Genomic DNA, 27,953 nt, shown 5'->3' on the forward strand with positions numbered 1-27,953 from the left:
TGCTTTGGTAGGGTAGATTTTAATAAGATTTTAATAATATTGGTAAGGAGCCAAATTACAGAATACCCTAGAATGTGGAATACAAAATCTCAGAGACAAAATAAAAACTCATGAAAATATAAGAGCACTTTAAAAAGGTAATAATCTTTAGGATAAAGAAAGCCTTTTCTCAACACAGGTACTGAGCATGTTTAATAAAAATTAAATGAGATTAAAGAGAAGGGGCACAGCCACACGCTCCCCGCCCCGCGGTGATTAGGAAGGTGATGCTTGTGTAGGTGAAAGCATGGAGCCAGGGCACAGAAGAGCTCCGAACACCAACAGTGCTGCAGTAAGCTGTCTCCACGTGGGTGGAATTTCTCACAATCCACTCACGGGATAGGAATTAATTTTCTCTCCAGTTGCAGAGGGGCCTTGTACATGAACTGCGTTGGCATGCGGAGGAGGGGCAACACATCCATGTTGGGGACCCCTCCCATCCACAGCCCCAGCTGCCACCACGGCAGGGCATGGGCTTTGGGGGCAACAAGGAGAGACAGGCTGTCTCCTCTAGGAACAACTCATTATTCAGCTAAACGAAATGGAAGAGCTCCATGTGACCAACAAACCCAAATTGAGCCAAAACAACAGGCGTCCCCACCCCCCAGAGGGATAATGTGCCACCACCCTGTGTGCAGTGGGAGAGCAGGAATGGAGGAAATATTCCTGGTTCAGTTACACTCCTCGTCTGTCAGGACAGATGTGCCACCCTATCTCGGATTCCGGGAGGGTGGCTGGGGGTTTCCCTCAACTCTGCAGCAAACACTTCAATGCTACTGTCATTTGAGGCCTAATTTTCTTCCAAGGGCACTATATGCCATGCTTCACTTGGGCCAGATGTTCAGATCAGTGTGTCTGCTCGTCCCCATTAAGAACACAACCACAATTATTTATTTGTCCTTCCAGCACATGTAGCAGTGAAGAGAGGCTGCCGGATCGCAGCAGATGACAGACAGCTGATGCTCCTCTGAAGAGCCACCAGCATCCCAGCCAGCCAGGACACAAGAAGGGGAGGCACTCTCGTTCTAGCCCTGTGCACCAGGCCACCACAGGCTCCCCTATTTTAAACCCTAAAGCAATAGTTCAAACACATGTAGATTCCATGTGACAAGAGAGACAGTAAGGAAGATTTGAGGCTTTATATTCTTTAGATGCCTACTTTTGCCATACTGGCTAGTAAGAAGTTATGTGTAACTTCAAGATGAAAGGCATTAGCAACCTCTTAGAAGACGATAATCCCAATCTTCTGGAGATTGAATGAGATGTAACTCACTGAAGCTTTTGACTCGGTCTGCTGTTAATTGAATCAAAGTCAATGACAATCTTGCTGCACTTCGGTATGAATTTCCTAAAAATAAAAACAAAATACAATTATTATCTGGTGAGTAGTGAAAGCAATTTGTTTACTTTGGCTTAACTCATATTTTCTGTGCAGAGAAAAATATGTCCTGGGATTCACTTGCTATTTTCTCTCTATAGGAGCCAATTATAGTGCACCATACCAAGAGAAACACAGAGCAGAAAAGACTAAGACAAAAAAAGATGCATGGGGTGGTGTGGTTTGTATGTTTTCAGCTCTCTGAGTTCACGAATTATTGGGGAGTCAAAGGATTTCTAACAAGTCAGCTGCACAACATGATATCCGATTACTAGTTTTCCCATCAGATTTATCTTATTTTCTAGAAAAATTTCTGCAGCCAACTTGGAGTCTCTCTAATGCAAAAAAATAGTAAATTTTCTTTTGCCGCTTATATATAGCAAAAAACGACTACCTTTAGTGAGGAGTAATTTTTCAAATTACATTCTAAAAATGCAAACATAAACCAACTTTTTTTTTTTTTTTTTTGCTCATTAACTTTTCACTTGTTCCTCATTTCTTCTACAACAATTAAAAAGAAGACATTTGGGAACAAAACAAATTCTTTTAAGAATCACTGAACAAGAGAGTATACAAATAATTTGAATTTAAAGTCTCAGAAGGCACCACGGTTGAGTTCATGAGATACACTGAGCTGTATCCCTAATGACCAGCACAAGGGGCCAGGGCACGTCACCTATGACCATGGTCCCACTGCTGCTGAACGCCAATACCATGAAGCGCTGGAAAACTTTACAGTCCCAAAGGAATTTTCTGCCATGAATCAAAGGTAGTTGAACTTACTTGCAAGTAAAATATAGCTCACAACCATTTCTTAGCAAAGATAATCATAAAAATCTGTAAGACTTCAAATCTCAATGCAAAATGTTGCTGTAAAAAGAATCCCCAGGTGGCTCACACCTGTAATCCCAGCACTTTGGGAGGCTGAGGCAGGCAGCTCATGAGGTCATCCTGGCCAACATGGTGAAACCCCGTCTCTACTGAAAGTACAAAAAAATTAGCTGGGTGTGGCAGGGGAGGCTGAGGCAGGAGAACCGCTTGAACCTGAGAAGCGGAGGTTGCAGTGAGCCAGGATCGCACCACTGCACTCTAGCCTGGTGACAGAGCGAGACTCCGTCTCAAAAAAAAAAGAGAGAATCCCCAATGTTTCAATCTGGCAGGCTACTTTCATCCTAAATTTTCTATGCCAAAGTTGTTACATTTGCAAAATTCACCAAGGTTTGGCATTCCTATTATAAAACTTGTGAATGTTTAAACTTCTCAGTACTTGAATAATTAGTCTAATTACCCCGGAAAGTTACTGAAATTAAAGTACAATCATTAAACAAATGGTCTTCAGATTTTCCTGTCACTGCTCTTAAATATCTACCCCTATAATAGTCTTTAAATTCTTATGCCCTTGCATTTCTAAAGACACCTCCAAGTGTGGAAGTCAGGCATCACAAGGAGGAGACAAGGTCAAATACATCTCTTCATCAGCCTTCACCCTACCCCGTCCCCCCGCCCGCATTCTCCCCACTTACCGGAATGTCACCCCGGCCATATTAAACAGGAGCCTCGCAGCAGTTGCCTCGTCACTATCATGGTATTTATCAGACATGAAAATCACTTCTTTTATACCTGTAAGGTAACAATGGGAGCTCCCTTAGTGTACGCACCTACAGATGCTGCAAAAGACAGGCGGAAGCAGCTGGAGCACTTTCAGCGTCTATGATTAATGACCTTTTCTGAGTGTGCTTGCAGACAGTGTCCAGTCACTGAAATACATATCTGCTGCTTTCTAATACAGCAGAGGGTGGATTCTATCTAATCTTCCCTCCAGTCTTTATGGATTTTTTTTTTAAACAAATGCAAAGGGAAAACATGTCAAGTAGTCAAGCCTTGATCCGATTAACCAATTTCCCTTACTACAGGTAATCAAGGCAGTATGCACAAGGTAGCTTCTCTTACTAGTGGGAGGACTAATGGAGGGAGTGGGGGCTGCTGGCAAATTCAGAGGTGGGCACCACTGTGCTTCCCAGCATGGCTTTGCAGACCACTTCAAACCAGCTCTACAGAGGGCAGATCTGTTTTCTTGTCCTGATCTCAGCAGGCAGCGCTAACTCGGCAGCCAGGAATCCCAAGGGCCCCGCACTGAAGGCCGCTGCTCCATCAGCCTCTGAAGGCAGAGGAGGCTGCAGTGTGGGGCCCGGACTGCTCGGCCCACAGGCCTGCCACCGCCTCCACACCTGGGCACCGCGAGGAGAGCTTCCCAGGAACGGTGACGGCGACAGCCAGGGAGCCCACGCGACTCCTCAGTACCAGCAGGCCGCTTCTGCTCTGAGATCCACAGGACTGGTGATAAACGGCCCCTTCAAACCACACATTTGGCTAAACATGGTAAGTCTTTAAATCTCCAGCCGAGAGTTTTATGGAGACAAAGTGTAGCTGAATCTTAGATGTGACAGTTTGAAAAAGGCGAAATATTCAGAATACAATGGTGTAGATTTATGGGAACCGTAAAATAAGAAAACCTGAAGGTAGTGCCATTTGGGTCTTATGACATTTATATGCCAAGGTATGTTGAGATCCTCAAATATCTACCATGTATTAGATACAAATTAAAATTTCATATACAGACTCCCAGCTGACCTTGTTTCTGACAGAAGTTCATTTCTTCCCTCCCCCAAATCTATGCACAATATGTCAGAGAACAGTAAATTGACAGTAATTATATGCAATGCCTGTGTTGTTTTTTGGCAGCTTGCAGTTTAAGAAGTTGCAAACTAAATTAAAAACATGCTAAGAATCACAGAGGATGCAATTAGTCTTAGAATACCTGGCACCATTCAAAAACAAAACACGGGAAATATCTTGCAAAGCTGATAGTGCAATTAATTTAGATCTAAACAATAGCAATTTAAGATCAAACACATCAGCAATGAGCTACTGACGAGCAGGCAGCAATGCAAATGTGACAAATGGAAAGACCCGGTTCCTACCTGCCTGGATGATGAGCTTAGCGCATTCATTACAAGGGAACAAGGCAACATACATACTACAGCCTTTCACATCGGTCGAATTTTTGTTCATGATGGCATTCAGCTCCGCATGGCACACTGTGGGTTGAAAGGGAAAGAAAGAAAAACTTTGGTTGCAGCTCATGAAGAATTTACTAAGTGTTAACACATTCCATTCCCCCCTCTGAAATAACATATAACAGACTCAAGTAAAAACATTGATTAGAAATGGCAAGTCCTAAGAATACCAAATGAGGCCCACGTGGTCTGGCTGGTTGCTGATGAGCAGTGAGGCCTGAAGGCACCTAGAGCGGCCAGGACGGCCGAGGTCAAGTGCCTTCCCCACCCTAAGCGCAGCTCCGCTTCACGGCTCCACAAGACCCTGGGGCATGAAAGTGCCCACCTGAGCTGGCTCATTGGTGTGCTGACACGCACACATGGGGAAGTTCACCGTGGCTGTTAAGAGGGCTAGGGGATTTTAAGAGCAAGAGAATCAACAAGTGACGAAGCTGAGCGTGTCCATCCTGAGGGATCTGCTTTACCACATCGTGCTCAGCCCACATACGCACAAGGAAAAACGCCAGCAGCCAGACTGGGTCTCGTTCTGTTGCCCAGAGTGCAGCGGCATGATCATATCTCACTGCAGCCTCGAGCTCCTGGGCTCAAGTGATCCTCCCAACTCAGCCTTCCAAGTAGCTGGGAGTACAGACGTGCCACCAAGCCCAGCTAATTTTTTGTATCTTTTGTAGAGATGGAGTCTCACTATGTTGCCCAGGCTGGTCTTGAAATCCTGGCCGTAAGTGATCTTCCCATCTTGGCCTCCCAAAGCTGTGGGATTACAGGTGTGGGCCACCATGCCCAGCCCAGTCTGTCTTTTATAAGAAAAACATTCATCCACTTAAATGGCAATGACTAGTTGAGCTCTTGATAGACCAGTGCATTCCACCCATGATCCCGGGTCACATCCGGACCTGCCTGAGTTCAGAGTCAAGGGGATCCCCTTCCTCCCTCTCTCGAACCTGGCAAAGCCAACACACACCCCAGAGGTCCAGTTTGCCTAGATGCTCCCGCTCCCTAATCCACAGGCGACATCCTCCTTGAGGGGGAATGAGTGGTGCCCACAGCACACACCTGGGTTTGACTCCCTCATCCTGCCCAGGAGGTTTCTGGATGGCCGTCTTGTATCGTTACTGAATTTTCCTGGGTGTGTTATCTAAAACTCTATTATAAATCCTAACAGCCGTGACTTGCAAACCTCTCTGATATCAGAACACCCTTAGGCGCTTCCAAAATACAGAGATCTGTGCCCTGTGCCTGCAGAGTGTGATGGCCTGGGCTGTGGCTTGGGCTTGAATTTGTAAGCAATTCCCCGGGTGATTCCAACGTGCAGACAAGTTCCGGAAGCACTGCCTTCTGGCTCCCCTGGTATTCCCAGCACATGCTATGCACACAAGTGCTAAAATAAATATTTGTCAAACGAGTTAATGAATGACATCCGGCCATGGCCCACATCACACAAGCCACCTAGAATATAAATATGGGAATCTTCAAGGTCTCCCCTACCCTCTCCAGCCTGCCAACCTTCTACACGTAACACTTCCAGGAGTTCTGAGGCCTTAAATGAGCAGTGGCCTAAACTTATGGCGCTCATACATTTCAGTCCCGACTCACTTGCTTCATCGATGATCATTTACTGAGCACGTACTCTGGGTCAGAGAGATGAAGGCCTGGCCACTCTCCTCAGCCACCCTCTCGTGTTCGGGTGCAGCTGCAGCTACCTCTGTGTGCCTGGGTCCCCCAGCAGCAATGCAATGTTGCAGGCATAAGGCTGACCAAAAGCTCTCTCAGGAAATGTTAGGAAGTATTCATTTTTGTCTACAAATTCCATGTTTTAGGAGATCTCAGTCCTGCCTAAAACTGAGCAATCTCTCCTGGCATTGCAGGAAAATCAAAAGAGGCAAACAAGCTGTGCTTCACTGACCACAGCCCATCAGAGAATCATCTTCGCTGCCCAGAGTGACCAGAGCCATGCCCCGAGACTTGCAGGTCTCATAAACCCTGACGGCATGGGAGGACAAGGAAAGACAAGAGAAGGGTGCGAGGGCCCGGGCTTGGGAAGGCACAAGGTATGGCCACATGTGCGCTGGCCTTGGAGGGGCTCCCGTGACCTCTTCTCCCCCTTGTGACCAGGCTGCTCCAGAGCTGGGTTTCACGCTGCTTGGTGTTAAAAACAATTACATGTAATTGTTTCTTTTATTTCCCCCTTGAGGGCAGAGCCCAGCCTAGGTTCTTTGTAACTCCCCCAGAGTCTAATGTGATGCCATGAACATAATGGGTGTTAAATATTTATCGAATGAATAAAGGAGGAAATGCAGATTCCAATTATTGATGGTGACGTTCGGAAGTACTGGAAGTCCTCTTAAATTCAAATATCAGAAATATGCTCTCCCATCTAATAAATACTTTTGGATGGTGCTGGTATTAATATTCAGAACTGCAGAGCCTCTGCATCTGTTATGAAACACTATGATAGCGTCCTCTAAGAACTGTCACGCTCACTGCCATGAGCTTCCTCTACTTCATCCCAGGCAGTTTGGGGCAAAATTTAACAGTATAGGTCTGGATTCATTAGTGAAAATTACCATATGAAACAGATTCTCTTGGGCAGCATCTGACATCCCTGTGTACAGAGGGCGATTTATAGAAATAATGCACAGCATTATAAACAGACTTCCTTTCTTTTAACCAAAAAATCACAAGATGAAGAATGTAAAGCTTCTTGTTAAAAAATATATATATATGAATATTAATATTAAAAATAAATATTAAATATATATCATATCTGAATATTAATACCAGCACCATCAAAAAGTATTTATTAGATGGGAGAGCATATTTCTGATATTTGAATTTAAGAGGACTTTCAGTACTTCCCAACATCACCATGAATAACTGGAATCTGCATTTCCTCCTTTATTCATTTGATAAATATTTAGCACCCATATATATATATATATATTTACATATATATAAAGCTACTGGGCAATATGAACAGTAGTGTGTCGGGTACACATGAGACTCTAAAAGGAACAATCCAAAATCCCACATACGCAAAAGTGGACACTGACAAGCAGGAAACTCAAGTGTTCGGTGGAGGGTGTAAGATCAGCCCCACCCTGGTCTCTCTTGCTGGTTCCCGTACCCTTCCCCAGACCCCCTCAGCCCTGTCTTATGATCACAGGCTTGCCCGACCCGCACCTGCGGGGCTGAGGAGAGAAGCCCCAACCCAGAGGAGCACCTGAGGCCGCAACCCAGCCCTGCCCCCTTCGTAACTCCCAGCTGCCGCCTGTTGTGGTCCTGAAATCCAGCTTCACCTTTGTGGCTGACACTCGTCTATCAGCTCCAGGATCTCCATAGCCCTGAAACTCTGAACCTTGCTGTCCCCCAGGCCGCCCTGTACCTCCTTTTGGGCCTGTCCTGAGGAGACAGGACTCAGCCAGGCCTCAGCCCCCAGACTGTCCTCAGAGAGGAAACTAGGGAAACTAACTTGATGACTTCCTCCAATTTGTTTAAAGCAGGTGGGTCAGAGTAAAGTTTGGGGATTCATTTACTTGTGTCGACTGGCCATCGACACTGATCAAATAACAGGCACCTGCCAAATCCACTTCAGGCCACAAAGAGCACTCGATGACTGCCTGGCCTGTGACGAGCTCATGCCTGCCCTGGCTGGCCAGACCACCACAGGCCAAGCATCCTCCCCTCTGTACTCTCCACCTCTGCCAGCGAGTGTGGACAAAGAGCTTTGCAACAAGGGCAGCACGAGGGCTCAAGGTCCAATTTGCTGCTTGGAAGCCGGATGACCTTCGACAGGGTGGCTGAGCGCTCTTGTAATTTGCAGGAGTGACAGTGGATCTGAGAAAGTGCATTTCCAGCTAACTAAATAAAAGCAATTTAAAAAATACCAAGTACATCCGATGTCTTTGCTTTTTTCCTAAGGTTTCCAGTTTCATTCCTCAATCCTCCAGAACAGGTGACTTTCTCTAAAACAAGCTTTCACTATCAAAACACGGCCTCCTCTCCCCAGGCAAACACAAGGCCGTGCTCCCAGCCCCTTCCTCCCTCCATCTCTGAGGGCTCCCGCTTCTCTCTGCTCGTTTTTCTTCTCCTGTAAGCATGCATACTTAGTCCTTAGTCTAGAGAGGTCATCTTGTCAGCCTTTTAGGATTCTTTTTTTCCTCCTTTCAAGATGAAATCATCCTATCTACAATTGTTACTATAATTTATTTTTAAAATAATTGTCTTCTGACTTTGTAAGGCATACATAATCCCCAGTTTTCTCTAAAATAATGTTTTTCAAACTGCAGGTCATGAAATCAGTTCAATGAGTTACACCAGCTTTTTCTTCTGTTTTAATGAAATAGGTAAGAAGGGAAGGATAGAGGTCAGAATGGATCCCGCATACAAGGTTAAATACTATTCCTAAAAATTATGTTTCAGGTGTCAACTGTGTTTGCTGGGTCACCATATATCTGCCAATTTCCGTGGTGTAGACATTTTTTCACACAGCCAATCTCCCACTCCCAACATGACGTGTACTTGGGAAGCAATGCGCACAGTTGGCTCTGATGACCTGATGAGAGCCAGCTCCACAGGCCACAGGAGGGTCTCGTCATCATGAAAACCCAAGGTCTCTTCTGGCCTGGAACCTTTTGATTCACCTGCTCTCTTTGGACTCCTCTCTATTCTAAAACCTCTCAGGACCACCATACACTTGTGTTCTCTTTCTGCTTTACTTTTCTGTAGGTCCTTTTATTTTTCCTGCCTTTGTGGGCACTTCCCAAGGTAAAATATTGGTCTTTGATTTTTCTCCCATAGTCACTGCCCTTTTTTTTCTTTTTCTTTTTTTTTTAGATGGAGTTTTGCTCTTGTTGTCCAGGCTGGAGTGCAATGACGTGATCTCGGCTCACTGCAACCTCTGCCTACCAGTTTCAAGCGATGATTCTCCTGCCTCAGCCTCCCGAGTAGCTGGGATTACAGGCACCCGTCACCATGCCCAGCTAATTCTTGTATTTTTAGTAGAAACAGGGTTTCGCTATGTTGGCCAGGCTGGTCTGGAACTCCTGACCTCAGGTGATCCACCTGCCTCGGCCTCCAAAAGTGCTGGGATTACAGGCATGAGCCACCGCGCCCGGCCAGTCACTGACCTTAAGAATCCATCTGTTCATAGATTCTCAGATGCCAGATCCATCTGTAAAACCTGAAATCTGGTGTCTAGCCATAACTGCCCATCTTCTCCCCAGGCCTTTTCTTTTGGGTGGTCTGGGGCTTCCATGTACCTTTCCTCTATGGGTTAAATATCTCTTATCCAAAATGCTTAGGAGCAGAATTGTTTCAGATTTCAGATTTTAAAATGTTTGCATTATACTTACCAGGTGAGCATCCCAAATCCAAACATTTGAAATCCAGAGTGCTCCATGAGCATTTCCTTCAAGTGTCATGCTGGTGTGCAAAAGGTTTCAGATTTTGGGCCAGGTGCAGTAGTTCATGCCTGTAATCCCAGCACTTTGGGAGGCCAAGTGGGGGAGATCGTTTGAGCTCAAGAGTTCAAGAACAGCTTAGGCAACATAGTGACAGCTCATCTCTACTGAAAATAAAAAAACTTAGCCAGGTATGGTGGCGTGCACCTGTAGTCCTAGCTACTTGGGAGGCTGAGGTGGGAGGACTGCTTGAGCCCAGGAGGTCAAGGCTGCAGTGAGCTGTGTTTGCACCACTGTACTCCAGTCTGGGCAACAGAGCAAGACCCCATCTCAGAAAAAAAAAAAAGTTTCAGATTTTGATTTTTGGATTTGGCATGCTCAACCTGTACAATAAACATTCCACAGATATTTGACAGCAATAAATGAAGGAATAAATTTACCTTTCCCTAGAGTGCACATTTTTGTTGTGTTGCCTGGATGAACTGCAGCAAGAGCTACAACTAACCAAAACTAACCAAGAAGTAATTGTTAGTTTTTATATTCGTAGTAGGAATAAGGATCAAGTATTTCAAAGATACAGTGTCTAGGAAGTATTCATAAGTTAGTCTAAATTGTAAAAAAAAAAAGAAAAAAAGATAAAATGTTCAACCTAGAATTACACATCTACAGCTAAGCAATAAGCAAAATAAATCTGCAAACAGTACATATATATTTGATAAGCACAAAGAGTGACACACAACCCTCCAGTTATTCCCAACCTTGTTTAAAAGGAAAAGAATCAAATGCTGAAAATATCAGATTAATGCTTAGAAGGCCTTGATTGCCAGAAGAGACTTTCTGTTTCAGGTAATTATAAGACAATTCATATGCTTTGGTTTTTTTTTTTTTTCTTTTCTATTACTAACTGTCAGAATTCAGAACTGCATTAACCTTGGACCATGGAGAAGAGACTGTATAATTAGAAAACTGTATTTTTCAAATTCTCTCTTAGTAGGGCTTGATTAATCCTTACTGTCTCATGTAGGCGGTTCTCTAGAAGTTTGACAAATTAACAGGATATATTCCATCCCTGGTTAGATTTAAGAGTTCAGCGTTTTATAGATGTGACTTTCACCTCATCTGATATAAGACTGATACAATATCTATTTTAGACGGTAGTATTATAAGGTTACTCAGATAGGTTTGTTTAAAAACCCTAAATAATGCTGAACAAATTCTAATTGCTGCCTAAATAATTTAGCAGTGATAGTGTTATTCTACCCTCAACTGATCTTCATCTGCTATGGAGATGTGACAGGAACTACTGGGGCCTGAGAAAATTTGGAGTCAGGAAAATGAAGGTTCTGATCTAGTTCTGAACTCTAGTTCTAGTTCTGAACTCTCCAGGTTGCTTAAAAATCCCTCATTTTTAGTGACACAGGATTTTCCTTAAAGAAAACGATGTCCTTAGACCTGAGGGTTGTTCTGCCAAAGCTGACCTGAACAGGTGGCAGCCTGGTGTGGTGGCTCCCGCTAGGACCGGGGTCAGAAGGCCAGGCATGGAGTGCCTGCTGCCACTGAGAACAGACCTGCAACGCCTTCTGCCGCCACCCCAGGCTGAGCCGTTCAGAGCACGGACAGTTCTGTTCACTGACAAGACAAGGGTCAGGACTCGAGCTAAGAAGCGTCTGCTCATGGCCTTCTGGAATGAAAAGGTGGGAAGCATCACCCTCTATTATTTCTACTGGGTTCCCACCCTGCAATTAACAAGTGACATGAAATGGCATACCCAAGTTCAAGGTTGACCTGTGCATTAAAAAAAAAAAAAAAAACTCAGTAATTTACAGGATTTTCTACTTCCATTCTGATGACAAAGCTTTTTGTCATTTCTTCCTGAAGTTAGGGCCTGAGTGCTTTTACTTCTGGGGTCCTATAGTTATCAGAGTTGCTAAACCTGGACATGTTGTCTCTGGGAGCACCTGCACCCCTGCCCCGGCCCCCACTGCCCACAGATGCCTGATGGAAACTTCCGCTGAGGGATGGGGTACACACTTACTCCTCTAACTGATCCATTTATGGAACTGCTTCACAGCTTCTGGAACTAAAATGGAATTTCAACTACTTGTTTCTTAATTATTGAAAGATATCCTGACAGGGCCTCATATGTCACTGCCAGCCTCCGCAGTCCCTATCCTGCACGTCAATAATTTAACAACGGAATAGCCGCGACAGTTAAGCCCCCCACAACCCCCACCAAGTACACTCTCCCAAAAGCTTATGAAGTGTTCCCAATTATGGCTTCCCCAAAATCTAAAGCAAAGATTTCTAGAATTTGGTCCCAAATAATGTCACCTCTCTATCTTATCTCTCCTGCATGAAGTTCCTATTAGTAAAGCAGCAATCTGGCTCATTATCAAGGTTTTCAAATGATTTGAAATAAAGGTGGAACTGGGGAAGGGAGCACCATATAGAAATCAACAGATATCACTTCTCTAAGATAGTTCCACCAGACAAGCCCCTCTTGCTCCCCGCCCCTCTCCTGGCTAAGGCCCTGTCTTCCTCCTGCCAGCCTGCTGGACTGCTCCAAAGCCTATGTCCCTCTAAGCCTGCTCAGACAGAGCCCTGTCCCCCACCCAGGGGAGCAGCCCTTAGTAACAGGACTGGAGCAAGAAAATAAAACAGTTTAAAACTTTCGCAGTTTCCCAGGTATGTTCTGGTAAGTTCTGGTTGCAAACTGGCCTGCACTGGGTGGAGAGCTAACAGGGCTGGGTGTGTGGGCTGCGGGATGGAGGTGGGTCTGGTCCCTGCAGAGCTCACACCAGCTGGGCTGCGATGCCCCAGCATGGAAATCAGCAGCGGCCCGAGTGCAAGCTAAAGCAACACAGTAGGACTGCTGAAGGAGTGCTGAGAAAATCCAGAAAACGAGGGTTCTAGGCACTGCTCGCAGGTGCAAGGGGAACTGAATCTTCAAGTAACATTGTTTCTGTAGAAAAATGTATGTGGATTACAAATGTTTTTTCAGGACAAAGGGATTTAAATCCTAGGATGTGCCTACACAAAGGTAATACCCTGTTCAAGTTCCAGCCTCTCTCAGCTACGAATAGGAATAACGACACCCGCCCCTTCCCATCTCACAGGGTCACACGAACAGCAAGTGAGGGACACAGTAGGAAAATGCTGTGTGAACTCCAAAGAACTCTGCAAATGGGGACTTTGTCACCAGTACTCAGAACAGGACCTGTTTCCTAAGAAAGACACTGGCTGGCAGGAACCAGGTCTTCCTGATCAGAGACAACAAGTGACAGCGCTTCTGCCTCCCCGATCACGCTGCACCCGACAGCCTACCTGTCCTTGGCATCCAGACACTCCTGCCCCCAGCCCAGCCCCAGGCAGAGTGTGGCCTTTCTACTCAGAAGATAAAGTAACTGAGCCCTCCCGCCATGGAGGGACACATGATTCCACCTGATAGGCATGACAGTGTAAGTGTGTGTGTGAAAATAAAGACGAGAAACGGGGGTGATGTGGAGAAACCCGCCGCATGCGTGGAAAATGTGTGGGCTCTGTTCTGTTTCCACCCTGTGCCCAGAGAGGAGGGCTCTGCTAGAAGAAAATGACAGCGCAAAGGAATTCTACCAAGGTCTGGGGAGAAAGTGGTGGGTCACTCACGTAAAAGGCAGCCCATCCTGCAGGCTCTGAGGGAAGCCTCCACACCCAGGGTGCCCATCCGCCTGCCCACAGCCCAGGGCCCTGAAAGCTGAGGCAAGAACTTCCGTCTCCGCTCCTGCAACAATGCACTCAGGGGTCTTGGAGACCCCTGGTTCTGCCTGTCTTCTCTGCTTCCTCCCTACCATGTCCTCACACACTGTCCACAACCTACCAGTCAAGCATCTTCTTCAGCCTCAGCCTCCGGACCTAAGAAATAGAGAGAAAAGTCCCTCTCCAAGAACGGTTAGAAAGACTAACATCTGTCAAGAGCACAGCACAGACAAGCTACTTGCTACATGTGAGTGCTTCCCATCCTCTCCCACGTGTGCCCACCTGAGACCAGGCTGTCCTGGCCTGCCCAATCCAGCCTGCCTGTGAGAATACCCATTTCTTTTTCCCTCTCTCCCACTCTGCTCCCCATCCCTGCCCCCTTCCTCAATGCCTCTTGCTAAAGCTGCGGATGACAACTCACGGCACCCAGGGGAGCCACTTAGCCCCAATGGTAGTGCTCAGGGCTAAAGAGATTTCTGACTGTGGTAAGGCCATTATTGGTAATAAAGCCCCCAGAACTCTAATTACACTGCCTCCCTATGGGCTAAGGGCACACAATCAGGTCAGGAGGAGGAGGATGTGGAAATAGCTGTACTGCATCCACGGTAGGCCATGCCAACTCCCTTCCCACTGTTCATGTGAAATGCACACGTGATGCCTAAAATGCGTGACAACAGCACCAAGAGAAACAGAGCGCTAATCAGCGCTGATAGTACTGTGATGGAGCTTAAAAGCCTCCTTTGTGTGTTAATAGCGTTTAGAGGGGAACCGGGCCTGAGCACTGGGCACTGGAAGAGGAGCTGGGATGTGTGTTCTAATTAATTCCAGCTCTCCCTGGCCTGCCTCAGGCAGCGCACTGATCCTGGGTCTGCAGGTAGAAAATGGGAAGCAACCGCCCAACTCGAGATTCTCAGATAAGATGTGAGCTCCTGACACTGCCCTACATTCCTAGGACATTCTTCTCCCACCCCACACAATCAGCTCTTCTCTTCTCCCGGCATCCAAGCTCCAACTCCCAGCTCTCTCAACCGATGACCCTGCTTCCTCCACCGGAATGGTGCAACTGATCACACTCTGCCTTTCGCTCCAGGACCCTGTGTCTGCTGTCCTCCCACCTCCCCTCTCAGTCCTTCCTCTTATTATCAACCAGGGTGTCTGAGAGACCGATCCTCACAGCCTTGAGCACCTTGCCTCTGTTCCAGAAATCTCTATCTCACTCTCTCTGTCTTGGACTATTCCCATCAACAAACAAATGTCTGCTACAGAAAAGCAAAAACCAAAGCCAAAACCAGATTCTCCTATCCTACAAACAATGCAATCCTTTCCCGTGGCCTTATCTCCATTCCAGCCACCACCCCACTTCTCTGCTCTCTTCTCAGCCACACATCCCAAAGCCCGATCTAAATAAAGCTGTCCCCATTGTCTCACCCTCTGTTCTCCTTCAAGAGGCTCCAATGTGGCTTGCAACCCTATTGCTCCGCTGAAACTGTACTTGGCTGAAACTGTACTTGGCAATATCACCTCTGACCTCCACGTTGCTGAACCCCATGAACACTTTTAATCTTAGGCCTCTTGGCAGCCTCCGATACAGCTGACAAGCCCGCCTTCTTTTTTTTTTTTTTTTTTTTTTAGACAAAGTCTCACTCTGTTGCCAGGCTGGAGTGCAATGGCGCGATCTCGGCTCACTGCAACCTCCGCCTCCCAGTTTCAAGCAATTCTCCTGCCTCAGCCTCCCAAGTAGCTGGGACTACAGGCACGCACCAACACGCCCAGCTAATTTTTGTATTTTTAGTAGAGACGGGGTTTCACCATGTTGGCCAGGATGGTCTCGATCTCTTGACCTCATGATCTCCCCGCCTCGGCCTCCCAAAATGAGGCCTTCTTTCTTAAAGCACTGCTCTGTGTGCTCCTTCTCACGGGCCCTTCTTTCTCCAACCACCTTAAGCGCTGGAGCCCTCAGGGCTCAGCCACAGCTACTCCTACTGCCTCTGCACATGCTCCCTTCATCAGCCACCCAGGTCGCTGGCACTGACATACCTGTACTGCTACAGCCAGTCGGGACTAATCCCCAACTCATACACCCACCTGACCACCCAACCCTTTGCAGGGAGCGCTCATGGGCACCTCAGCCTTCAGGTGTCTAAATCTTCCTTGATCATTCCAAAATCTTGCTTCTCCTCCTCAGCATGCCTGTCTAGCTACTGCAACCAGAACCATTTGGGGGGAGTCAATCTACCTCTTCCACCCTTTATCACGCCATCTTCCTGATGCTGCCCCTAAAATACACCCCATCTCCAGCCAGGCCTCTCCAGCCCCAGCACCCACCCCCTCCAAGGCCCTCGCATCGTACACCACGTCACCTCCCGGCTGGCGAGTCGCTGTTTCCACTCTTGCCCCAGAACAATCCAGTTCATACACACAACCTGTCCTAGTTTGTTTGGGCTGCTCTAACAAATATCATAAATTTGTAGCTTCTAAACATCAGAAATGTATTTCTCACAGCTCTGGAGGCTGGGACGTCCGAGATCAAGGGGCTGGCAGATTCGGGGTCTGGTCCCTATCTCATTAAAAAAGAAAAAAAAAGTGACTGCCTCAGAAAGGAATATTCAATCATATCTGTTTGTTTCATTAATGTCTACCTCCTCCACAATTAGTCTGCAAACTCTTCAAAAACAGAGACCCTCCCATGGCATTCTGTTGACCTCTGCAGAGTGCCCGGCATGTAAAACACATAATAAATGCCCTAGAAGTGTCTGCTGAATGAACAAATGACCACATGTGATGGTGTCTGAAAAACTCCAACGCATTATAAAATAGAGTTAGGATTTTAAAAAGAAAGAAAGATGACTCCAGAGATCATCCCCATCACCAGCAGACAACTGAAACTGGTAAGAGAACAGGTGACTCGTTAGTACTTATTTTAATTCCTAAAAAGTGATAACTCACATGGAGAAGGAAAAATGACAGAAGAATTCTGCTTCCCTTTATTCACCTAAACTCAAAATTAATGGCATTTTGAACAAAGTCTTTTAATTGCAGAATTAAAAAATTCATGCTCAGTTATCATATTCAATATTTTAAATTTACTATGGCATCTATCATTTGAAAGAAGCACAGAGAAAATTTACACCTCCACTAATTGGTTGGCACCGACCCTTCAGACAGCATCAGCAAGGGGAGCGCCCATTCCCTTGCATTGCAACTCTCTTGCCTTCACCAGTATCCTGCATTTATCACAGGGATTTCCCAATGTCAAGCAAGTATCTCTGTTTGAATAAATATTGTCATGCTGACTTGTTCTCTAAAGAATTTCTAAAGTCCTTTCTTTCTATTTGGTCTTAACCTCTTGTCTCTTTCAAAGAGTTTTCAGCGTGTCCCATGTAATCATACATTTTCTTTCACTTAGACATAGGATCTTTTTCTTAATTTTTTTGAGACAGGGTCTCTCATTCTGTCGTCTGGGATGGAGTTCAGTGGTGCAATCTTGGCTCACTGCTGCCTTGGCCTCCCGAGCTCAAGCAATCCTCCCACCTCAGCCTCCCTGGAGTAGCTGGGGCTACAGCTGCACGCCACAACACCCGGCTAATTTTTGTATTTTCTGTAGAGACGGGATTTCGCCATGTTGCCCAGGCTGGTCTTGAACTCTTGAACTCGAACGATCCACCTGCCTCGGCTTCCCAACGTGCTGGGATTACAGGCGTGCACTCCATACTCAGCTAGGATCTTTTTCTTTATTGCTGTTATCCAACCTTTTCTCATCCAATGTCTTTTAATCTGCATGTCTGTGGAGTAACCTACAGTCTGACTGTCCCCTCCTATTCATGCATCCTATCTCCATATGGTCTATATTCATCTTAGAACTGCGCCAGTCTTTAATCGTTAGAGGAGGGAGGGAAAGGCGCCTGTTTCTATTAATTTATCCATATGTACACATGCACATTCTCCCTGTGGCATTGCCTCCAACAGCTTTTTACAGCTCTGATTTGACCGAGAACGCTTTCAGAACTCCGTAAGCTGAGAAAAAGATACTAATCTAATGCCATCAAAGCTATAATACTTATATTTTTCCTTGGAATAAGAGAACTGGAAGAATCTTCAGTGATAATTTACTTCATAGAGATATTGAGAAATAAATGTCAGGTGATGCCTCTAACAGCCCCACAGTCACTGGGCATGAACATACCAAACCTGGAACCCTTGGCTCCTTACGGCGGCTCCAGGATTCTTTCGTGTGAATATGGCAATTGTTGTTTTAAGCACTATGGGGCTTTACTTAGCTAATGTGTGTATTACAGACATGCATATCCCTATCCAGATTAAAAAAAAAAAAGTCTTCAGGAAGTAAAAGTAAAAAGCAATACAAACATTTGCAAAAATCTCTAAGAACTAGGTTTTATTGTGTATTTCTGGGAGCAAACAATATATTCATATTCTACTTTAATATAGCTGGTATTAACAAAACTCCTGAAGGGAGATTCCGGATTAAAAAAAACTCAAAATACAATAAAGCTTTAGTCATTTCAGCCAATTTCAGAGAAGATCAGTCAAAATCAGCACAACTGACATAGAACAGATCACCAGAATCAAGACTATGAGAGTAATCATTCTCAGGTAACCACACTGTACAGCAATCCCTGTGTTTCTAAGCAAAGACTTAGCAAAGTTAAAGAAATAAAGAAGTGGCCGGGCACAGTGACTCAAGCCTGTAATCCCAGGACTTTGGGAGGCTGAGGCGGGTGGATCACCTGAGGTCAGGAGTTTGAGACCAGCCTGGCCAACATGGTGAAACCCCATCTCTACTAAAAATACAAAAATTAACCAGGCGTGGTGGCACGTGCCTGTAATCACACAGCTACTCCGAGGCTGAAGCAGGAGAATCGCTTGAAACCTGGAGGTGGAGGCTGCAGTGAGCCAAGATTGTGCCACTGCACTCCAGCCTGGGTGACAGAGCAAGACTCTGTCTCAAAAAAAAAAAAAAAAAAAAAAAGAAGAAGAAGAAGAAGAAGAAATAAAGAAGGAATATCCATTTGCATTCAGATCATTAATGTGCTCAAATACTTAACATAGCTGTTTTCTAAATTAGTTTGCATGTGCCCCTGACATTTTATCAAGGCTACTAATTTTTCAACAAACCTTTTATCTTGAGAGATTACAGTACAAAGATAAACTTCAGCCCACTTCTGGGAACCCTGGAACCACTACTTTAGATTAAGTTTTATTTCAAACTTCTACGAGGTGAACTGACTCAAAAGTCACTTTTTATAGAAAGGAGACAGATATGTGTATTTTCATGGGTAGGTCCAATCCCCAAACATTTCAGCTTTTCCTAACATGTGTGCTCTTCAAAACAAGGAGTTATTTTGTTACTATATGTCTTTCATAGATATTCATAATGAAATAGTAAACTCTAGCACTTTAAAAATAATTAACTCTGTAACTATAAAAATACATAAATATCAAAATAAATTATATTAAAATATCATTATTTATTCCTTTCTGAAAACTGTTTATAAACAATTATATCTTAAAGTAAAACATGCTTACATGGAGCTGGTTGATTTTAGTGGGTGGGAGAAGACTCATATATACACTGGTGTGTCCCTCTGTTTATCTGAAACCCCACACGATCACAGCTGAGTTTGCCCCTTGATTCGTAAAAATAATCTACTTAATTTCTTTTCTATGCAGTTGTTCAAAGGTTTTCCATTGATTATAACAGTAGTTTTGTACAAAAGTCCCTAATTAGACCTGCTGTCGGGCCACAACTAGTAGAAGGCCAGGCAGGGGAGGAGCGGCAGGAAGCTTTAAGTGAAATTAAATTCTGCAGGAAAAGAAACAGCAAGTTATCAAATTCATGGACTGACTAACGAAACCAGAGGACATTCAATTTCAGGACGGAAAGAACAAATTTGATCTTAATTACTAAGAAGCTCTTACAAGTTGTGAGGAAGTCATATCTTAAGAAGGATCAGCCTCCTAACTTCTTGATAAATTAGTTTCTCAACACTAACCTTTCAGATGCCAAAGAAATATATCACGTGCATGGCAGTCAGGAAAATGTCAGTGTTCAAGGGGGTAAAGTAAATGGCTAAGTAATCACAAAAGTGACATCTATGCATGCTTAACAATATGCTAAGTCTGAAAAATAAAGATGAAATTTAAATAGAGAATTTAAAGAGGCACTGCCCCACACTGGCAAAGGTGTTTAAGATGCTCTGCTGAACTCTTTCGCCTTAATTAATTCCAGGTTTTTCAGCATTTTCCTTCCCAGCATTACATCCTTTTTAGAGTATCCCTGTAGACATAGGAACTGACTCGGGTAAGAGCCCCACTTCTACCCAACGCACTCAGAGTGAGGCCTCCCCCGACTCTTGGGGACACTGAGATGCTACGGTTCCCTCCCTGGTGCAGTGAGATGCAGCAGGCCAAGCAACCCTGGCTCCCTGGTCCATTGGGTGGGATAGGAGGCCAAGCACAGAGGCACTCACCAAAACCCAGAGCCCTTTGCCAGCAGAAATCAGCAAGGCCACAAGTGCTGGGCAGCTGGATACATGTGGCAAGCATTACTAAAAATTCCCTTAAGTTTAACAACGGGAACAAGTTAATTCTCCAACTCTCTAATTTGTAAACTATATCATCAAAATCGGTTACGAAAACCCAAGGAAAGAGTGATATCTGAATCACCAAGAGTATTTTACCTCATTTGATAACATTGGTATTTTGATTAAATGTGCTTCACTATAATGAATTCCACAAAGAAAAAGGAATGAAAAATGTCAACTGAATACTTCATCACAGGTTTAGCAACCCACCCCCTCATGAAAATAAAAATCTTCCCAAGTTTTTTAATCTTGTAAATTAGATAAATCTGCTGCTTCCTCTTTTTTAATTGTCATTCATCTGAAAAGATTCTTAGTATAATAACATTGCCTTCTTCCTGCCACTTAATGTTACTGACATCATATTATCTTTTGGATTTTTCAGGAAAAGGATGGAATAAAAAGCTTCTTTAGCAGAGGGAATTTTCATTTTCCACATTAATACTACATTATAATAAAATAGTTTTATGAAGTTTTGATCCCAAGACTGGAAGAACAAAAACACCCTTTAAAAATAACTCTCTAGAGACACAGCCCAGGAAAAGCTCCATCTTCCTATTATGTTACAAGTAGTGTGTGTTTCCCTCCTCCCCACAAGGCATCAATCAGGACTAATGACTTCCGACTTACGGAATTAATAAAGCAGTATTAAGCTGTATGTTATTTGGTAAACTCAAATTTACACAGTTCTCAAGCTCCCTGTCACAGTCCCTTGGGGCTGCTATAACAAAGTCCCATAGACTGGGTGGCTGAGAAACAATGGACATTTATTTCTCATGGTTCTGGAGGCTGGAAGTCAGGACACCAGCATGGTTAGATTCTGGCAAGGTCTCCTTTCAGGGTTGCAGATAGCCATCTTCTCCGCCTATCCTTGCACATGGAAAAAGAGTAACTGAGCTCCCTGGGGTCCCTTTTAGAAGGGCACTAATCCCATTCAGGAGAGCTCCACCCTCATGGCCTAATTACGTCCCCCCAGGCCCCACCTCCAAATATCAGCACATTGGAATTAGGGTTTCAACATGTGAATTTGGGGGGAGACACATTCAGTCCACTGCACTCCCCTTTGAAGAAATGTTACAGTGAGCCACGCATGTGGCTTTCTGCATGATGCCGGACACAGGCCACCCCTCCCCGAGCTCCTGATCTCTGAGGAGTAATTATTTTATCGGAGCCTCAGTCTGATCAACTGCAAAAAAAAATGAGACAATGATTGGCATTTCAGTACAGCTGAATTCATGTGCCCCACAGGAGAGACACAGGGAGGTAGCAGGAAGAGCACTGACCTTGGAATTAGGAGATGTCACCCTGCATGTGTGACATTATAGAAGTTACTTACAAGAAAGGAGGAGGCTTAGATCCTGTGGGCATAGAACCCTGAGACACTACTAAGGTATTGCAAGGGGTCCAAGCATATCCACAACTGGATAAATCCCATGTCCAGGACATACATAAACTTTTCCCAAACATACATAAATGCTATCCAATTAATAAAGTTCAGATTAACAAAAAATGTTACTGATACGAAGTAGTTTTTGTCATTGTGGAGTTTCTTACTCAAAAGATACTAAGAATTTAGCATTATGCAGGGGTCCTGGAAGTTTTTCAGCATTTAAAAGAGGGTCCTGTACATTCAAAAGAGTTAAAAATCATTGTCCAGAACTCGAGATAATCTCTAAAGCTCCTTTACAGGGATTAACCTATGAATTTACCCTTCCTGCTACAGCAGCTCAGTCACCATTAATGTAGATGAGGAAAGAATGGGTTGAGCTATCCAACTCCAGGCAGTATCCCCTTATTTTTTAAATTAATTTTGAAAATCTTAAAACGAAAGCAAAAAAAAAAAAAAAGACTTTGCATTTGAGTCAATTATCAGCAAACATTTCTGTGACATCCCAGGCAATCCAAACATTTACTTCTCTGTGGCCTGAAAAACCTTGAGAAGACAACAAGTGTACAGTTTATACACAGTCATCGTCATTTAGACTTTAAGCCCATCTTTACTGTATTATGGCGGCAGTAATACTAAATGCCTTTTAGAAACCATTTAATACCTTCTACAACTTTTATGGTACATCAAATTACAAGCTTACTCTCGTGAAAGAAAACTGTCGACATTCTAACACAGCTACATATAAATGAATAATTGATAAGTAAGAGCAAAGAGCTTTGAAAACCTAGAGGTATCATATGGATAATAAAAAATAATGCAGACAGACAACCAGTGCCCAGGAGCTCAGGAGCTATTCAATAAAAAACAATCGGTGAAGTTGGACAAATACCTATGCAGGTTTTTAAAAAAATTCCTTCTAGAAAGGGGCTCTGAAAGGTACTCTCCTCAATTTGGACAAAAGGCAGTGTCTCATAACCAACAAAATCAGCTACACGGGAAGTCAGGAGAGCTGGGAAGTCTGGGGTGTGGGGCAGGTGCTGCAAATGTACTGCATGGCCCTTGGCTTCCAGGTCACTGCTTAAAGATCTGCTGGGGGCTCTGGGTGACTGAAGAAGGCACAGGCCCCATTGGGAGGCCCACTCAGTGCTCACCCAGGACCCCTCCGCACTGTCCAACCACGGGTATCTTTTGCACCAGCTTGAGTATGACGGACCGCCATCCCCCCAGAATTCCTCCATATCAAAGTCCAGCCCCAGGGCCAATATTTCACTGCCCAGACTCGGTGACATACTGACTGTGGCCGTCACACAGTTCAATGCAGACCTTTAACATATCGACCCTCCACTTTCACCATTTTTATAGGGGACTTTGAACCGCACTGTGAAAAATTATCTTTGCATGGACTTAAAAACAACTAATCACTTCCCTTCTTTCTTACCATCAAAAGCTTATAGAATCAAAATCAGGGTGACAGTTTCTGAGTCCGCGCATTTTTCTAATTAGTCATCCACTACCACCGGCTCTGAAGCTGTGCTGAGAAGACAGTCTTACCCTCCCCCAACTCCATCCTCTCTTCCCACTCCGACGAGGGAGGGTGAGGTTAAATCAAGGATCTGAGGATTCGGTCCCCTTCATCCCTAAACTACTTTTCACATCCTGGAAACCCAGACTGCTTTGCAGTCCTCAGTTCCTCCTCTCTCTCCAGGTACCTCTTAACTTTTTCTTTCAAACATGGAGAAGTTGCCCCTAGGCAATTTAGAAAGAAATTTATGGGGCTTATTTAACATGATTGAGGTCCAGGAACATTAGTAAAAATATATAAATTAGACTAAATGTTGACTTGGATTCTTCATGAGAAAAACCCAGAAGAAAACCTACCAGGAGAGTCAACAAAGAAGAAAGGTCGTACATCACGCCTTGGCCTGAAGACACAATCTTTCCCATTTGGATGGCCTTACTCTCCCTTCACTTCCAACAGCGCCAGTCTGTTCATTCTCAGACATAAAATACAGGGCCTAACCTTACAAAAATCAGCAACCTGCATACCCAGCATGATTTGCCTCTTTTCCAGCATTGCTTGCATATTCTCCAAGGAATGCAAGGAAAAGTAAAGCTATGGCTGGACCCTCCCAGGCAATCTCTGAAGGAATTTTCCCTGGGGCTTAGACAGGCAACAAACTCTAAGAAGCAGCCTTCCCTAATTTCAAGGGGAAAATCCAGAGACAGTCAAGCCAAAGGTTTACAGTTCTACACTTCTAGCTTTTTCTTTTCTTTGTTTTTGTTTTGTTTTTTGTTTGTTTGTTTTTGTTTTGTTTTTTGAGACAGAGTCTTGCTCTGTCACCCAGGCTGGAGTGCAGTGGCGCAGTCTTGGCTCACTACAACCTCCACCTCCTGAGTTCAAGCGATTCTCCTTCCTCAGCCTCCCGAGTAGCTGAGATTACAGGCACCTGCCACCACGCACAGCTAATTTTTGTATTTTTAGTAGAGATGGGGTTTCACCATGTTGGCTAGGCTGGTCTCGAACTCCTGACCTCAGGTGATCTGCCCGTCTCCACCTCCCAAAGTGTTGGGATTACAGGCGTGAGCCATCGTGCCCAGCCTCACTTCTGGCTTTTGGTCTGACCACAGCCTACTGTGAAATTGCAGCATCCCCTGTAACTGGAGGAAGCAACTGGATCCTCCATCTCCTGATGTCTAGTTCACAGTTTGATTCCTGCTTGCCAGCAATGAGCTTGAGCCAGATGTTCTCATCAGGCACATGGGCTGAATGAAGCCTGCTTCTCATCAGACCAAAGCCCGAGCCAGCCCCTGGTTAGCCGACCCTGCTTCCAAGTAGTAAAAAAAGGAACCCACAGAGACACCATGCACATCCCTCAGCTATCTCTGCAAGGGGCTGTGACCCTCTGCAGAGACGCCGACTATCAGTGCACTGGTGTGGTGCAGGCCAGCAGGTTGCCAGTGAAGCCTGCCAGGCTCAGCACAGGCAGCAGAGCCCTGGATCTCAGGGCCAGCCTGTGTGGCCACTACCATGCTTCTCTCCGTGGCTCTCTTTGGAACTTAAGAGACAAGGCCAGGAAATTGGGGTAGTTCAGTAGGATACTTTTCTTTCCAGTTGTTGATGACAAAAGGGAGATGATGCCTTCTGACCAACTTTCTTAATTAGGCACTCACCAGGCTATGTCACTAAGCAGAATGGGACATAAAACTTGCCCTACCGTACGGGTATTTGGTGTCCAGCTTATTCTCTGCTGTCCTTCTCCAAGGCAACACGTCATCACTGCACCCATTTGGCATCCCATTGTACCCAATCCCGACAATCTTGTTTTCTGAATTCACGATGCAGGCGCCGACCTAGAAGGAAACATGCCCAAAGGCTTGGTGCCTGCAACTGGCTGGTCTGCCGCTGTGGAAGCAGGGAATAAAACCAGGGGGACTGCAGAACTCAAAACAGACGCATAGCTGCTGCAGGTGCTGAGAGCTGTCGGTCTCCTTGCCTGGTTTTTTGTGGCAGCACCCACAAGCCAAGGAAAGTGCACCCCCAGTCCCAGAAGGGGCACAAGAGGCAGTTAACAATGGCATGTGACAATTTTCTGTCTCACAGGAAGAACTAAGCTTGTAGAAACGCAGCACAAAAGGCAGACCGACCCTGCACTTTTAAGTTGACAGGCGTCCACTGAGTCTCCCCTTTCTGCTCATGTGCAGTAATCTCTTTGCCTGTGAGTATCTAAGCATTCTCCCGTGAAATTCATTTACCTGGGAATTTGGATCTTTGCTTCTCTGTGCTGATAAGAAGGCCACAGCCATAAAATACTCTGGCCATTCCAAATAGTCGTCCCGTTTCTTGCAGGAAACTTCACTCATGTTGGGTCTAGAAGAAAAACATGACAAAACAGAAGTTGAGAGAAGCATTTTAGTAAGTCTGTTTTCCAGTTCAACCCAACCACACTGAACCTTTAAATCTCTAAACATGGGCAACTTCAGCTACATTTATCAATCAGAAATCACAGCACATGGGCCCTAAACAGTCTCTGGTCTTAAGTAAAAACTTAAGAAATTTCCTATTTCAGAAGTTTGAATTTGAAACCTATAGCTTCACGTTCCCAAATATTTCATCTATTTACTGCTTTCTCATAGGATTTTTTATGCCAGCCTACAAATTGTTGTGTCCTTTACCTGTCTCCCTTACAAAGCGGAGTCAGCACAGGAGGAGGGTGGAAAAAAGAAATATTTATTGATCATCTATAGATTCCAGACATTGTTAAAGTTTATACACATCATGTCACTCAAGCCTTACTCCTAGCTAAGGTAGACAGTGCCATCCCATCTTACACAGACTCAGAGAACTTAGGTAACTTAACCTAAACCACACAGGATTATCATCCATGCCAGACGGATTCAAAGAAAACATCTGAAGCCTTCCCAACTCTGATATTAACCAGATAATTTTTCCCTTCCCTTTCTCCTCAATAATCCAGATGGGACAGAAGTTATCAACTCCGAGTAATGAATTACATGAGAAGAAACTATGAAAAACGTCAAGTGCTACTCCTAAAGCAAGGTTTTTGGAACGTAGTTTACCAGGGGCAAGCAGAGACTGTCTACGGCAGGGAGAGCCCACGAAGGGGGTCCTAGGACTTCAGGGGAGTGGTCGCTTTCAAAAGGAATGAAACAAGGGCAAGGAAGGAAGACAACACAAAAACGGGGTGGGTACCACGGAGAAATCTTGAGAAAGGCGAGGAATGTGGTCTAAAGGAAGGCAAGCATCTCCCAAAACTTCTGCTTCAGGCTCCACACTTTATTTAGGCATCTGCTACAGTGCAGGGCGGCAGTGCCTAAGACAAGGATGCAGTGGAGAGTGGGTGCTGGGAACCACGGTCACCCACTGATTACGCTGCCCCACATCTGAGAGGCCTGGCAACCCCCCTAACAGGAAAAGACAGGTGCTGAATCAGCCTGGTTTCCCACCTGGCTTTAGGGCCAGCATCCATCATCGCTGTGGGGTGCTGGAGAAGTACCTACTAAATAGGAGGGAGGGGGAGCCATGGGGGGCGAGGGAAGAGCAGGAGAGGGAAGGGTCCTGTTAATCCCCTGGGCGCCTTCTCCTGGTGTGGCTGAACGCCCACTAGAGCCCTGTGAGGACTGAGGCCCAGCTGTAGAAACAGAGAGAACTGGAGCTCGAATACAACGATTCAGGAAGACACATCCGGTCACCGTCCCAGGCACACCCCACGCCGCTCGCAACCCCGTCAGCTCTGATCCAGGGCCTACACCCGGCATTCCCAACCCACACACGGGCGCAGGAAGGGATGTGGTGTTCAGACGCCCAGCACCACCTCCCGGGGCACTCCAAGGGGCCCGGCCTCGCACAGGCCGCGGCGCCCGCCGAGAAATCGACCCTGGAGTGACTGCGGGGACCCCGAGCGCCCCCACCCCGCCCGCATTCTCCGATCTAAAGGCTGAGCGCGGCCGAGGCGCCCCCAGCGTCCGCGGCCCCAGGCCCCCGCCCGGCAGCCAGCGCCCCGCGCCACGCGCTCGGGACGGTGCCACGCGGCGGTGGCTAGGGGCGCGCGGGCCGCGTACCCGCACGGCTGGCCCCCGCCCACCATCCGGTGCCGGCTCCGCGCGCAGGCCGGTGCTCGTCCCCGCCGCCGCCGTGCTCAGGGAAGGAAGTCGGGGGAGGAGGCGGGGCCGCCGCGGGGCCGGAAGGGGGCAGCGGCCCGGGCGCCGCGCGTTCGCAGGACGGCGGCTGGCCCCGGGGGCCCGAAGCCCTGAGGGGAGGGAGGGAGGGACGGCGGGGGCGGGTCGCACGCCGCAAAGGCGCTGCTCCGCGTCGCCGTACGCCTCCCGGTCCCCGTGACGCAGCCCGCGGTCCGGCCGGCGGTGTTCAGAGCCCGAGCACAAACTACTTCCCGGGTGCCAGACCGCCCCGAGGTCGCCCCGCTGCCCGGGTCACGCGTGGCGCTGGGTGGCCGCGAGTTGGGCGCTCCCGGGCCTGACTGCACGACCGTCGGGGGCTGCTTGGTTTGGTGGTGGTGGCGGTGGTGAGGTTTTCCCCACCATCCGTGTTCCATCAACTGCTTAGAGACACGGCTATGGAGATTGTGATTAAAAGACGACCCCAAGAATCTAGTGCCGTGAAACTGGCGGGGCGGGAGGTGGGGAGACCTGGTTTGGGTCTCTGGAGTGAGCCCGCTGTGTCGCAGCGTCCCCGTGGGGACCCTTGGCCGGTGGCTGGGTCACAGTTTCACACACTGGATGGGGCAGGGAACTGGGTCCGGCGGGGGCGCTGTGCCTCGAGGCTCAGTGCCTCGAAGCTAGATTTGCATTTGGCTGCGC

General features: G+C 46.2%; 1 protein-coding gene across 11 annotated transcripts, besides 3 other annotated features; it reads right to left on the minus strand.

The window, feature by feature from the left end:
* On the minus strand, positions 1-27,521 carry DCTD (dCMP deaminase). 11 transcript variants are annotated; one of them, XM_017007820.3, is made up of 8 exons: positions 26,583-27,521; positions 26,329-26,449; positions 25,791-25,794; positions 25,371-25,485; positions 24,833-24,968; positions 4,399-4,515; positions 2,941-3,037; positions 1-1,387 (listed from the first exon to the last, which is right to left on the minus strand). In XM_017007820.3, exons 4-8 carry the CDS (start codon positions 25,476-25,478, stop codon positions 1,309-1,311), a joined length of 537 nt encoding a protein of 178 aa, XP_016863309.1. In that variant the 5' UTR covers positions 25,479-25,485; positions 25,791-25,794; positions 26,329-26,449; positions 26,583-27,521; the 3' UTR covers positions 1-1,308. The 11 variants fall into 11 exon arrangements, with proteins under 11 accessions (XP_016863309.1, NP_001338676.1, NP_001338673.1 ...); NM_001351747.2 differs by having other exon boundaries at positions 25,791-25,798; NM_001351744.2 differs by having other exon boundaries at positions 26,196-26,449.
* Positions 4,942-5,512: an enhancer, noted in NCBI's record as "H3K27ac-H3K4me1 hESC enhancer chr4:183816185-183816755 (GRCh37/hg19 assembly coordinates)". NCBI's record gives its function as "activates a minimal SCP1, AML or CMV promoter by ChIP-STARR-seq in primed H9 embryonic stem cells {active_cell/tissue: H9 hESC(primed)}" and the evidence as "EXISTENCE:reporter gene assay evidence [ECO:0000049][PMID:30033119]".
* Positions 7,539-8,039: an enhancer, noted in NCBI's record as "H3K4me1 hESC enhancer chr4:183818782-183819282 (GRCh37/hg19 assembly coordinates)". NCBI's record gives its function as "activates a minimal SCP1, AML or CMV promoter by ChIP-STARR-seq in primed H9 embryonic stem cells {active_cell/tissue: H9 hESC(primed)}" and the evidence as "EXISTENCE:reporter gene assay evidence [ECO:0000049][PMID:30033119]".
* Positions 26,928-27,637: a silencer, noted in NCBI's record as "silent region_15825". NCBI's record gives its function as "represses an Ori minimal core promoter by ATAC-STARR-seq in GM12878 lymphoblastoid cells {active_cell/tissue: GM12878}" and the evidence as "EXISTENCE:reporter gene assay evidence [ECO:0000049][PMID:35858748]".

Source organism: Homo sapiens, chromosome 4 (assembly GCF_000001405.40).
Source record: "Homo sapiens chromosome 4, GRCh38.p14 Primary Assembly".
Taxonomy (NCBI): Eukaryota; Metazoa; Chordata; class Mammalia; order Primates; family Hominidae; genus Homo; species Homo sapiens.

Coding starts and splice junctions, on each gene's coding strand:
- DCTD (XM_005262778.4), bottom strand. CDS start 26,608: ATGATGGATGCTGGCCCTAAAGCCAG. Junction 24,969..25,370: donor GCAAAGATCCAAATTCCCAG/GTAAATGAATTT, acceptor GTTTCCTTCTAG/GTCGGCGCCTGCATCGTGAA. Junction 4,516..24,832: donor GGACACCAAATACCCGTACG/GTAGGGCAAGTT, acceptor TTCAACCCACAG/TGTGCCATGCGGAGCTGAAT.